This window comes from Homo sapiens, chromosome 8 (genome assembly GCF_000001405.40).
Source record: "Homo sapiens chromosome 8, GRCh38.p14 Primary Assembly".
Lineage (NCBI taxonomy): Eukaryota > Metazoa > Chordata > Mammalia > Primates > Hominidae > Homo > Homo sapiens.
In genome coordinates this window covers 7023889-7038480 of record NC_000008.11, presented here as the reverse complement: position 1 = coordinate 7038480, position 14592 = coordinate 7023889, and the positions used below count along the sequence as shown (strand labels likewise).

The window sequence follows — 14592 nt, the reverse complement described above, 5'->3', positions numbered from 1 at the left end:
CATCCCAAATAAATACTTGGTAACATGATTTCCGGGTTTTTTTTTTTTTGAGGCGGAGTCTCCCTCTGTCACCCAGGCTGGAGTGCAGTGGTGGGATCTCAGCTCATTGCAAGCTCTGCCTCCCAGATTCAAGCAATTCTCCTGTCTCAGCCTCCTGAGTAGCTGGGACTACAGGCGCCCACCACCACGCCTGGCTAATTTTTGTATTTTTAGTAGAGACGGTGTTTCACCATGTTGGCCAGGATGGTCTTGATCTCCCGAACTCGTGACTGACCCGCCTTAGCCTCCCAAAGTGCTGGGATTGCAGGCGTGAGCCACCGGGCCAGGCCGATCTAATAAAATAAAGATCCAAATTCTAGGAACTTCAAGGAAGAATTCTGGCTTCAGACACATGTATATGAAAGGTCAAATGATGCCCCTGATCTCTCCATCCACTGCTCTGTCTTTTCATTCTGCCTCATTTTCACTGGATCCACTCTCAAAGAAGTCCTGTGTGCTGGGCAGACAATCAGTGTCAGCTAAAAGTTTATGCAATCACAAAATCATTCCTTCTCAGGAAAAACCATCATGCTGTTTCCAAAATTGTTGGAGTTTTATTCAACCAAACTGGATCACACATCTACATTTTAAGTTTGGGGGTTATATCAGTTCTATTGAAACAACTTTAGCTAAGGTTGGAATGGTGGGTTGCAGGAGTTTGAGACCACACTGGGCAACATGGTGAAACCCCATCTATACAAAAACATATAAAAAATTAGCTGGGCATGGTGGCACACACCCATGGTCCCAGCTATCAGGGAGGCTGAGGTGGGAGGATTGCTAGAGCCTGGAATGTTGAGGCTGCAGCGAGCTGAGATTGCACCACTGCAATCCAGCCTGGGCAACAGAGTGAGACACTCCAGCCTGGGCAACAGAGTGAGACACACCAGCCTAGGCAACAGAATGAGACACTCCAGCCTGGGCAACAGTGAGACACACCAGCCTAGGCAACAGAATGAGACACTCCAGCCTCGGCAACAGTGAGACACACCAGCCTAGACAACAGAATGAGACCCTCCAGCCTGGGCAACAGTGAGACACACCAGCCTGGGCAACAGAGTGAGACACTCCAGCCTGGGCAACAGAGTGAGACACTCCAGCCTGGGCAACAGAGTGAGACACTCCAGCCTGGGCAAAAGAGTGAGACCCTATCTCAAAAAAAAAAAAATTGTTTTTTTTGAAGATTGGAATGAGTTGTTAAGAAAGCTGTAATGAATCAAACAAAGAGCCCAGGAACACCACACTGTGATAGATTCATTATCAGGACCTTCCAGGAGGAACAGCAACAGCAATACCCTCTTAGGTCCTCAGAGTATGTACCGGGATGGTCACGGCTTCCCTCCCAGGCTGTCTCCAACTGTTGCTCATCTTCATATCTCACTCTTGGGGCCTGTGTCCTTTTGAGCTTGTCTTTTTCTTCCTTTCCAAGAGGACATGGTCACTGCCTAAACCTGGTGTCTCTGTAGGGCCAGGCTGACATCTTGTTGAGGTGTAATGTGACTCTTCCTCCTGTCTCCCCTCTGTTTCCTTCCCCAGATTCCAACTGTCCCTTGAACAATTATCCAACGTGTCCTGCAAATGGCCTGTCAGTCCCTGACCACAAGACCCCACAGAGGCGTCCAGCGTGAGTGCCAGCTCCTTATTTCACCTGGAATATAGCAGTTTCAGTTTGTGATTCCACAACACGTATTTGGAATAAGAATATGTCTGTTTGAGCCAAGGCTACTCTTATCAGGTGGGCTCTGGTAAAACGCCTTAAGAAATCCAAGACTGATAGAGAGACCACTGTTTGCAAAGAGACAGAATATCAAGTGAGTTATTTACCATTCTTGACTAAAATAATTCAACGGGCCCACATACTGCTGTGACCACCAACACCGCCAACAAATGCCCAGACCTCAGGAGAAGGGAGCCGGTGTTCTCCACATTCACCCCATGCAGATTCTAAGCAGGTCTCAGCCCCAGACCGAGGCTCTGTCTGTCTGAAGAGGCAGCTTCAGCTAGGCAGCGGGTCCAGGCACCCCACTGAGACACTACACAGCTAGGGAACCCAATACAGATCCCAGGGAGGACAGAGTGGGTCTGTGTCCAACCAAGAAATGGTTCCAGGCCGGGCCTGGTGGTTCATGCCTATAATCCCAGCACTTTGGGAGGCAGAGGTGGGCGGATCACCTGAGGTTCGAGACCAGCCTGGTCAGCATAGTGAAACCCGGTCTTTACTAAAAACACAAAAAAAATTAGCCTGCCATGGTGGTGTGTGCCTGTAATCCCAGCTACTCGGGAGACCGAAGCAAGAGAATCGCTTGAACCTGGGAGGCGAGGTTGCAGTGAGCCGAGATCGCGCGCCACTGCACACCAGCCTGGGCGACAGAGCAGGACTCTGTCTCAACAACAACAACCAAAAAAAAAAAAAAAAAAAAAAAAAAAAGAATTTGCTGGACACCGCTATTCAGTAGTGTACCTATGCAGTTCCTCCAGGGTAACTTTATAAGGGGCAGGAGCGCCGCCTGCTGTCCTTAAGGTGCTACTGTGGCTCTGCTGGCCCAGCTTTCTGTCAGAGCAGGTTCTCCTTGACTGGGAATATAGCATGGGCACTGCTAAGTCGCCCTCTGATAACTGAGGACATCTCAAGGTGGAAACATACTGAAGCTACTGAGGAAAAAGAAGAAAGAGCCCTTGGCACAAACAGATTGAACTTCAGTGAAAATGCTCTGGCTTCGATGTGGGGTGGGGTGGGGTGAAGGAGAGAAGGGCGCTGAGCAGAGATAAGGTCCTCATGACTACCGGTCATCACAGGGGACAGTCGTTTCTTCTCACGAAGCTGCACAAGCCTGATGGCTAATGAGGGAGAAATATACCCATCCTGTGTTTGCATTTGTTCATTGAAAGCTGGACCCAAGAGTAATGGGCTTTGCTGAATAGGGCTTGGACATTTGTCCATATGTGAGTATGGGGGCTGGGAGGAGAGGGAAGAGAGGAAAGCAAACCATTTGAAGTTCCCTTATTGTCTCCAAAGCCCTTTGATGTTCTTCTTATTCCAGGTGTGCCATCTATTTGCTTGGTGCCTCTGATGATTTCATGAGTCGTGATATGGATCCCAATAAGAGTCCCTGCTTCCCGTCTGTCTATATGTTTACCAACCACCATGTGGACTAGGCTGTGTTATCTTCTATTCCACAGAGTAAGCTGGGGCCACTTATTATTTCCCAAAGGTAGATCAGACAATTACAGAATTCCCCTTTAGGTCAAGACCAGGAAATCAGGACCACTTACCCTTAGAAGAATCTTGTCCTCTTAGATAGATCAGGGTAGCTTAGGAATAGCTCCTGGGAAGGATTGCCAGGTGATAGGGTAATTGTTGTCTTCCCCTTGAGCAAGTAGGGAAAGTGATGTGGACACCTTTAATTCACAATGAACAAGCAGAATGTGGGGTGAAGGGCTGGGCATGGTGGCTCCCACCTGTAATCCCAGCACTTTGGGAGGCCGAGAGGAGGGGATCAGTTGAGGTCAGGAATTTCAGACCAGCCTGGCCAACACGGTGAAACTCTGACTCTAATAAAAATACAAAAATTAGCTGAGTGTGGTGGTGTGCACCTGTAATCCCAGCTACTTGGGAGGCTGAGGCAGGAGAATTGCTTGAACCCAGCAGGTAGAGGTTGCAGTGAGCTGAGATCGTGCTACTGCACTCCAGCCTGGGTGACAGAGCAAGACTGTCTCAAAAAAAATTGGGGTGAAGGAGGCAGGTTTAATTGGAAACCTGGGCCTTGGTTAAAAGGCCACCTCACAGTGGATAAATGAATGCCAAGTTCAAGTAAATATAAAACAAATGCATTTACACACAAAAGGCACATCTCTGGAAATGGCTGAAAAGTTTCAGAATTCTTTCACTCTGAACGGACTTCAGCAATGGGATTTAACAGAAAGCATTTATGTCCACTGTTTTTCTAAGGACCTGGGAGAAAGAGTCTTTGTCCTGAGTGATGATGGTCTATGAGCAGTAAACCTCCACTAGGTCTGCAGAGGTCTCAGTAAAACACTGTTGCTAGGACCCATTCCACAGAGTTTCTGATTCAATAGGTCTGAGGTGGGATCCAGGAGTTTGTATTGCTACCATGTTCCCAGGTGATGCAGGTGCTTCTGGTTCAGAGCTCCGGCTTTGAGAACACTGCTGTGGTGTGGGAAATGGCATTGCTCTCACATGGCTCCCAACAACCTCAGGGATCCTTGACCTGTTGGTTTCAGAAACCTCCCTTATACTCTGTTTTGTTCACCCAATCCACAGCCATAACATCAATCTTCTTATCACTTGGAGATACTCTCACCTTAAAAATGCAGATTCCAGCATCCTACCATGCCTCGTCCCCACCCCTCAATCTTTCTGACTCAGCCGTTCCCATACTGTCACTCAGTGTCGTCAACACTTCCATTCTCTAGGAACACCACTATTTCCCAATCAGTTGTCCAAACTCTTTTAATTCTTTCACATCCAGCCCTGGTCTATGTTCCATCACTTAATCACTGTTGAATGAGGACTTCGTTCCTTTCCCCCCACTCTCTTATCTCTCTGGGCAAATGCCAAATGCTAAGCCCACATCAATTTTATACTGTTCTCACCTTCACCTTGATGCTGAGAAAAAGTCCCCATGCCGTAAATCCAATTAAAGCACAACTGAGTTCTCTGCCTTGCCTAGAAATCTTCTAAAAATCCTTACTTTTCCAATATCAAAAGAGAATAAAATTATGTCACATTCTCTATTCTAGAAAGTCTCTTTTAAAAAAACTCTTTACTCTTATGAAATGTGAAATGGGAGAGGCATTTTATAATTGACGATTACATTGAACTGTAACAACACACACAATAAAAATAAATGATAGGCCGGGCACGGTGGCTCACACTTGTAATCCCAGCACTGTGGGAGGCTGAGGCGGGTGGCGGATCACCTGAGGTATGGAATTCAAGACCAGCCTGGCCAATGTGGTGAAACCCCATCTCTACTAAAAATACAAACATTATCAGGGCGTGGTGGTGCACACTTTTAATACCAGCTACTTGGGGAGGCTAAGGCAGGAGAATTGCTTGAACCTGGGAGGCACAGGTTGCAGTGAGCCGAGGTCGCGCCATTGCACTTCAGCCTGGGCAGCAGTGCAAACTCCGTCTCACAACGAACAGACAAACAAAAATGATAATAGTATCATATAGCATAAAATATTTAACATTTTAGTTGTCCCAAAACAGCTTTTTGAATACACGATCTTATAAAAAAGTTGGGAGTGAAGAAAAGTGGTAATAATTGCCTCCACATTTGAGTAAACAAGGTTTGCTTGGAAAAACGTAACGACAAATATCTCTCAGATTACACTAATCCAGGTCACATAATAAACCACCATTAATGTAGCAATATAACACAATTTCCATCATGCCAACATATTTTATTTTATATTTGGCCCCAAACCAGTAGTGCACCATATATAGAGAAAGGAAATGCATTTGGTAACTTAAAAAAAAATTGGTTATATCATTTTTCGTGTTATTTTGTTTTTTAAAGCCACTCTATCGAGATAAAATTAACATGATGTACAACTCACACATTTAAAGTGCAGAATTCAGTGGCGCTTAGTATATTCACAGACATGTGCAGCAATAACCACATTCAAATTAATTTTCATCACTTCATAAAGAACCCAAGGACTTTCCATTCCTCCCTTCCGATATTCCCATCCCTCTACCTCTGAGCAACCACTAAGCTATTTTCTGTCCCCATAGACTTGCTTATTCTGGATATTTTGTATAAACAGAATCATGTAATACATGGTCTTTTATGTCTGGCTTCTTGCCCTTCCCCATGACTGTTTGTGTGGACATACACTTTCATAGCTTTTGGGTATATACCTAGGAGTGGAATTCCTAGCTCACAGGGTAATTCTATGTTTAACTTATTAAAGAATCAATAAAACTGTTTTCCCCAGAGACTGCCCCATTTTACACCACAGCAGTAAATTTCTCCACATCCTCGACAGGTTTTGTCTATTATCTGCCTTTTTGATTCTAAAAAACCCTGGTGGATATGAAGTGGTATTTCACTGTGGTTTTGATTTGAATTTCCTAATAAATAATGATGCCAAGAATTTTTTCATGTGCTTATTGACTATCTGTATATCTTCCCTAGAGAAATGTCTAAGGAGATCCTTTGCCCGTTTATAAATTTGTTTATTTAGCTTTAAGTGTTTATCATAAGAGGACTGCATATATTCTGGATACATGGGATACATGTCTTTCATGAGATACGTGATATGTAAGTATTTTCTCTCATTCTGTGAGTTGCCTTTTCGCTTTCTTGATAGTGTCACTTGAAATACAAAAGATTTTTATTTTGATAATATCCAATTACCTGTTTTTTTCTTTTGTTGCTCATGCTTTTGATATAATATCTAAGAATCCATTGCCAAACATAGGTTATGAAGGCTTACCCCTATGTTTCCTTATAAAAGTTTTATGCTTTTAGATTTTACATTTAGATTTCTAACCCATTTTGAATTACCTTTTAAATATAGTGTGAGGTAGGGTCCAACTCATTCTAATGCTTGTGGCCATCTAGTTTACCCCACCATTTGTTGAAAAGAATTTTCTTGCCTCCATTGAATGCCCTTGGCACCACTGCAGAAAGTGAGTTAATAACCATAGACACGTTTTTATTTCTGAACTCTCAATTCTATTCCACTGATCTATGTCTATCTTTACAGCAGTACCACCCTGTCATGATTACCGTTTCTTTGTAGGATGCTTTGAAAACAGGAATCTTTTCTTCTTTTTCAAGATTATTTAGCTATTCTGGGATCCTTGCTATTCCATATAAATTTTAGAATCACCTAGTCAGTTTCTACAAAGAAAGTCTTCTACAAAGAAGTCATTAGGGATTCTGAAATAGATTGAGCTGAATCTGTAGATCAGTTTGGGGAGCACTGACATCTCACATTAAACCTCACAATCCCTGAGCATAAGATCTCTTTCCAGTTATTTAGATATTCTTAAAAACTTCAACTTTTTGTGGTTTGGGGAGTATAAGTTTTGCACATTTTTTAAATTCAACGACTAGCTATGTTCCTTTTGATACTACTTGTAAAAGGAGTTTTTAGCTTCATTTTTGAAAAGTTTATTATGAAAGAAAAAATACAATTGATTTTTGTGCACTGGTCTTCTATTTTTCAACCATGCTAAACTCCCTTATTAGTTCTAATAGTTTTTTAATAAATTGTTTTGGATTTTCTATATATAAAAGATCATGTCTTTGCAAACAGAGATTATTTAACAACTTCTTTTCTAACCTGGATGTCATTTAATTTTTCCTTCTTGCCTGACTGCCCTAGAACCTCTAGCACAATGTTGAGTAGAAGTGCTGATTTCAGATATCCTTGGCTGGTTTCTAATTTCAGTAGGAAAGCATCCTTTTTTTTTTTTTTCAACCACCGAGTATGATGTTAGTTGTAAGTTTTTCATAGATGTCCCTGATGCCAAAAAAGTTGGGGACTGCTGCCTTAACAGATTGAGAGTTCACCTCTCAACCCAGTGAGTGTTTTCATGCCTAATAGTATCTCACTTTTCTCTAACTGTATTCTTGTTTCTTCATCTTTTTTCTCTGTTCTCTGGACTATATAATCTTTTATCTATCTGTACACACATTTCCTAAATCTTGGTTCTGCCAGTTTAAGTATACTATTGAGCAGCCGTTCATAAAATTTACATTTCGATTATTGTACTTCTCAATTCCAGAATTTCATGTGTTTCTTCGTAACTTCACTTTATTATATTCTGCCCTTGAAAAGATTTTGTCATCACAGTTTCCTTTAATTATGTAATAATGGTTTCTTTTAGTTGTTTAGTCACATTTATCATTAATACTCGTTTTTTTCTATTAAGTTCTTTATATATTTAGATATTTACTTTCATTACATGTATCGTTTACAAATATTTCTCTCTCTTGCTAGGTTGCCTGTTTGCTCAGTTAATGACTTCCTTTGCTATGCAGATGTTTTACAGTTAAATGAACTCCAACTGGTTTATTTTTGCTTTAGTTGCCTCTACCTTTAATGTAATATCCAAGAAATAATCTCCCAGTTCAACGTTAGGAAGCTTTATCCCTATGGGTTCTTCTAGTAAGTTTTATGATTTCAAGACTTATATTTAGGTCTTCAATTCATTCAGAGTTGATTTTTACATTTGGTGTGAGATAAGGGTACAAATGTAGATATACGTTGAATTATCAGGTTGTGTACTTTCAACCGATATAATTTCTAATTGTCACTCCTCTCAATACGGTTGGAAATAAAAAAAAATTTTTAACCTTATTCAGACCAACTCTTTAACTAGTATCCCACTGAGCTTATTTGACTGATAGCCTGATGAGGCCATTGTCCTCTCCACACTAGCAGTGGCAGAAGACTATGCCTTCCAGAACCTCAAAAGCGTCCTTCATGAGGGTAGAAATGCCCCAGAATCCTGCAATGAATTACTCTCTATGCTGGGGTCCAGGTCTTGCCTCAGGGTCTAGACCACCAAGAATAGCAGGGCTCATCTTCAGAAAATAAGAGGCATTTATTGCCTGAACTTATGGAATAAGAGCAGTGTTTCTTTTCTTTTTTGAATATTAAGAAGTAAATGTTCCAGCAGATGAGACACAGGAAATTATAGCATGATCCTAATCATCACTATTGGCTTGGACCCAGAACAGACACTCGATAAGCAGACTCATGCTATGATAAAAGCTCGGAGAACAGAAGAGCATCAAAGGGATCTTGATGGCAAAGGCAGCCCTTCCCTTCCCCAATCACATGCTCCACCTCCTCTCACTGCAGCATCTGTCTCTGAGCCTTCTCCCAGCAGAGCTATAAATCCAAGCTGGCTTATCACTCCCCACACATCCACTCCTGCTCTCCATCCTCCAGGTGACCCCAGCCATGAGGACCCTCACCCTCCTCGCTGCCATTCTCCTGGTGCCACTCCAGGCCCTGGCTTGAGCCACTCCAGGCAAGAGCTGACTAGGCTGCAGCCCAGGAGCAGCTTGGGGCAGACCACCAGGACTTTGCCATCTCCTTCACAGGGGACATAAGCTCAGGTTTTAGAGATTCAGGTGAGAGCCACCAGCACTGCAGAGCCAGGAGTCTAGAGAGGAAAACCAGGCACCGCTAGAATCAGACCCAATAGCTGGTTCTTTCTCTTAGGTGATCACCTCTCCAGGCCTCAATTTCCTCAAGTGTAGACTGAAAAGACAGAATCAGATGATATTCAATGGACATTGCTCCTCCAAAGGTATTTGATTCTGTGAAAAGTCAGTGAAATTTAGTAATCTTATGCTATGTGGAAACACGCTGGGGAGTCTCTCTGGCATCGAGGATGAGAACCCACTTGGAAAGAAACATATTTCACTTTGTTTGTTAGAGGAGCTTCACAAATGGGAAGGGACCTAAGGGTGTACTCAAATGTGTGTGTGAAGAAGCAGCATCACAAAAAGTGAGCAAATGAGAATAAGTCTCTAATCCTGCCTGTGAGCAGCACTGCTGTGTACGTTGATTCCTATTGATTGAGCTGATCTTGCTGCTGCTGTGGTGTGGCCACCATGATGAATGCAATCAGCCCAGTAAGTAACTGCACGGGGATTCTCCTTACCAACCGCGTCTGACCCCAGTCCCAATGCCTGATGCTTTCTCTGTGTCTTCAGGCTCAGCGACGGGCTTGGTCTGCTATGGCAGAATATCAGGCTGTCATTTTTCCAAACACCGCTATGGGACCTGCACCAATAGTGGGATCATGGAGCACAGAGGAAAATGTGTTCATCATTTGCTTTGAGATCTAGAGGAGAACTTTTATTACTCCTTTACCTTGTCTTCAATTTCTTCCCTTATTCCTAATAAAGTCTTTGTAGCAAGTTTGTGTTTGTACCTGTTTGGTGTTTAATGCACCTCTTAGTCAAGACTCTTTGGGATGCAAGCACCAGAATCCTAAATTAAGCTTTTTAAGCAAAATACAACTCCAAATTCTAAGAATATCAAGGACAAACATTGGCTTCAGACACAAACTGATTTACAAGCACAAATTATGCTGCCAATTTCTCCTTCTACTTCTCTGTCTTTTCACTCTGCTTCACTTTGATTGGATTCACTCAAACGTAACTCCCATGTGTTAGGAAAAACAGTCATTATCAGCTTTCAGTTTACACAATCATAACATCGCTACTTCTTAGGGAAAAAACCACCATGTTCTTTCCTGAAGTGTTGGAGTTTCATTGAACAGACCCAGGTCACACATCTGCCTTTGAAGACCTGGGGTTGTCACAGCTCTATTGAAAAAAATTTAATTGAGATTGGAATGAACAGTTAAGAAAGCTGTAATGGGCCAGGTGTGGTGGCTCATACCTGTAATCCCAGCACCAAAGAAATGGTTCCAGACCGGGGGCAGTGGCTCACGCCTGCAATCCCAGCACTTTGGGAGGCTGAGGCAGATGGATCATCTGAGGTCAGGAGTTCGAGACTAGCCTGGCCAACGTGGTGAAACCTCGCCTCTATTAAAAATACAAAAATTAGCCGAGAGTGGTGGCACATGCCTGTAATCCCAGCTACTTGGAAGGCTGAGGCAGGAGAATCACTTGAACCTGAGAAATGGAGGTTGCGGTGAGCTGAGATCATGCCATTGCACTCCAGCCTGGGTGACAAGAGCGAAACTCCATCAAAAAAACAAAACAAAACAAATCCTGTAATGAGTACAACGAAAAGCATAGGAGCACCTCGCTGCGACAGACTCATCATCAATATTTTCCACCCATGCCAGGGAAAATCTTGATTTCATATTCATAAAGTTGTCTTCACACAAACAAAACGCAGATTCCTCAACTGTATTCTGAAAGATGCACCCTTGAGACAGGAGAATAGGGAAATAGGATAATCAAGGGTTAAGGCATAAGGAAAAGAACACCAGGTGCAGCCAGTTCCAGGCAAGATTAGGCAGCACACCAAATTCTTTGAGCTTAATAAAAACACTAAGTGGGGGGCTCTTGAGCCACTTGCTTGAACTGGCTCCCACTCTGTGGTGTGTCAATAAATCTGTACTTTCGTTACTGCATTCTCATGTTGCTTTGGTTTGTCTTTCGTTGCTTTGTTCTTTTGTTGCTTTGTTTGTACGTTTTGTTGAATTATTTGTTCAATGCACTAAGAATCTGGACAACTCACAGTCAAGATCTTCCATCTGGTAACACTCTTGTGTTCCCTTAAAACTGCAGAGGACCTGATTCTACCTGAAAATACAGTTTTAAAGGGGCACCGGGAAAACAGAAGTGAGGGAAAAGCTATCGAAGTAATCTGCGTCCCGGCTGGTGCTGCAGGGCGCTGAGGTTCTGATACTCAGAAAGTGCTGCACATCAGCCAGTGAGCAGGAAACCAGGTCTGCGGAAAGGGAATGAACCAGGAGTTGAGCGCCCTCTGAGATGCTCAGAGCAATTACCTGGAAGACCACAGCGCCCCCTGTTGTCCTGCCTCCAACTGCAGCCTCCCCACCAGGCACAGCACACGTTGGGTATGTACCTTCCTGAGCCTGTCTTTCTCCTCTCCTCCAAGAGGACAGGGTCGCTACCGGTGTCCCTGAGGCCAGGCTGACATCTTGCTGAGGTGTGATGTGACCCTTCCTGTATCTCTTCTCTTTCCTTCTCTAGGCACCCATTGAACCTTGAACACTAGTTCAACATATCCTGCAAATAGCCTATGAGAACATGACCACAAAGGCCCAGGAAGGATTCCAGCGTGAGCCCCAGAGCCCCGGGAAGTATTCTAGCGTGAGCCCCAGAGTCTTTATTTTACTTTAAATTTAGTAGTGCTAGTTTGTGATTCCACAATACATTTTTTGAATAAAAATATGTCTGTTCAAGCCTTGGCTACTCTTATTGGGTGGTACTGGTAAAATGCCCCAAGAACCCTTACAGTGACAGAGAGACCATAGTTTGCAAAGGAAGAAATAGTGTTTCAAGTGGATTATTCACCATTCTTGAATAAAACAATATAATGAGTCTAGACACAGCTGTGACCACCAACACCAACCACAAATGCCCAGCACCCAGGAGAAGGAAGCAGGTGTTGTCCACATCCAATCCATGCAGATTCCGAGCAGGTCTCAGTCCCAGACTGAGGCTCTGCCTGTGTAAAGGGGCGGCTCAGGGTTCCAGGCACCCCACTGAGACAATGCACAGCTGGGGAACCTACTGCAGACCTCAAGGAGGACACAGTGGGTTGGTGTCTGACAAAATAAATGCTCCCAGATCTTCCCCCTTGTGTAGACAGTGAAGGACACATATTATGATTCAGGGGGTGAAAAACAAGCCACCTTCCTTGGGTTCCTGTCACTGCCTTGGAGTTGGAGTCATGTGGTCCTTGAACTAACTGCAAATTATTCCTAACTGTCCACTGGGCCAGGATCACTTCATTTTGGGGCAGCTGCCCTTCACCCAGAAGTCCACCTGGCTCACTCCTCCAGCTCCTGGGGTCTCAGCTAAAACATCCCTTGGTCACTGAAATCTTTCTTGATTTCCCAACTTAAGATTGCCACAAGTTCCCCTGGATACCTCCATCCTCCTTGTTCTCTTTATTTCTAACTGTAGCATTTCAAACCATTTCGCATCCTATACATTTCACTTATTCTCGGTAACATTTCTCTCTCTGTGCTAGAAGGGAAGCTGCATGTTTTGCTCATTGTTGTACCACAGTGCCCAGATGACTGCCTAACACATAGCTGGGGATCAACAAATTAATTCTGAGTTATTAATTATCCCCAACATCACATACTATTACAAAATTGCATTATTATTACTCAACTTCATAGAAAAAAAGCTGAAACCTACAGAAGAAAAAATTCTGTATGTCAGTTCATGTGACAGCAGACCTTTCAAAAACTAAAATCTTTTAAGAATGAAATATAGGAGAATATCACTGGTAAAATGTGGCTTTAAGTAACATTAGGACTTTAGAAAGAAGAGATCATTTTGTCTTGGAGTGGCAAGGACAGATTTTATGGTGTATCTTAAACCGGAACATAAAGATGTTTACAACTGAATAGATTAAAAGGAGGGTTAGAGAAGAACGTTTGCTGGAGATAATGGTATCAGGGACAGAGATATGCCAGGTCAGGGTCTAAGTCTGCTGGATTTGGAGGAATTGATGTTGAAAGAGAAAAGGATGAACTGGTAATTCGAGCTGATATTCTCGGAGGCATCCATCAATTTAAGGGAAAGGGGCAGACGAGGATGGAATATCCCTGCTCCTCTGTGTTGATAAAGGCATACTGGTAGAACCACATTAAGATTCTGCTACTGCAGTCTAGGGTGCGCGATGACAGCTGCAAACACTAAGGACAGAGAATGCAGGGAGAGGTGTGAGGGTCTCCAAACAATGGGAGCAACTTGCTTAGCCTCAAATAAAACCCAAAGCTTATTACTGGAATGCACACACACAGAACATTTATGGAATGCCAGTGAGATATTTCTACCTTAAATAAGCCACTCATACAGTAGAAGAAAATAAAGAATAAGTCAAATATGAAGCTAACCCTTTGAAATGTCATTTTCCAAGAAGAAAGTACCCTTTTCTCTGTGGGAGGATAGGAGCCTACCTTCCATAAATACAAATTGGGAAACACAGATGGCCCAATCACACTGCTCAACCTTCCTGCCAGCAACCTCCAGTACTTTTTCACCAGCTCACCCTAGGGCTTAAACTCTCCTGTGTTTGGCCTCAAGAGAGTTGAGTTCAACTGCTCTCCCTATTGCAAAGAGTTAACACCTATTGGGACATTCCTCAACACCAATTCCTTGGCATTTCATAAAAGTATCTGGTGCAATTTTTCTTTTAAACAAAGGATACTGCCTCGTTATTGTTGCTGTTGATATTCTGTGCCTGTTTATATGATATTCTGAACTCTGTTTACAACAAGAATGTAAGAGATAAGAAAAGTACTTGTTCCCTTTTCTGAACTTTGGCATATTTTGTCTTTTGCTGCTAAAAGCCCCGTAACTCACGAAGAAACTTAAGATTATGAGAAGTTATTTTTCACTCTAATATTTTCCAGAAGGTCACTCTCACTACCTCTCAATGCTTTGAGATCCTGGATAACAGTGAACCCCCTCCTCTTTGCCCAAGCCCTCCACCCACGGCCACCCACTAACTCCTGCCATCACCTGGAATTCCTCCATTTCTGCACATCAACTATGAAGCTCCCCATCCCTGACTCACCTGCTGTCCTTCCAGCCTCTCACATAGCTGCCCCTCCTTCCCTGCTGATCAGCATTAACAAGGTTATTCTGCCCCGGGGCTGTGCATGGGAATCACCAGGGAGCCTGATGCCCCAGCTGCCCTTGGTACACCTGTCATCTGGTCTCAAGCTGCCCCGGGACACTTGTCATCTGCTCTCATCTCCTGTCCTTGTGCACTGCACCATCTTTGCCTCAGGTTCTCTGAGTCTGGTATTTTTGATGTTTTTCAGATCTCTTAATGGGGTCTTGAATTCAAATGTCAGAAACCAAC

The 14592-nt window shown here is 43.3% G+C and overlaps 1 pseudogene across 1 annotated transcript; it reads left to right on the top strand.

Annotated features, from left to right (window-relative positions):
• Positions 8992–9880, top strand: DEFA11P (defensin alpha 11, pseudogene; annotated as a pseudogene). Its single transcript, NR_073421.2, has 2 exons — positions 8992–9164; positions 9753–9880. The product of NR_073421.2 is annotated as a defensin alpha 11, pseudogene (transcript).
• Positions 9881–14592: the final 4712 nt, after the last annotated feature.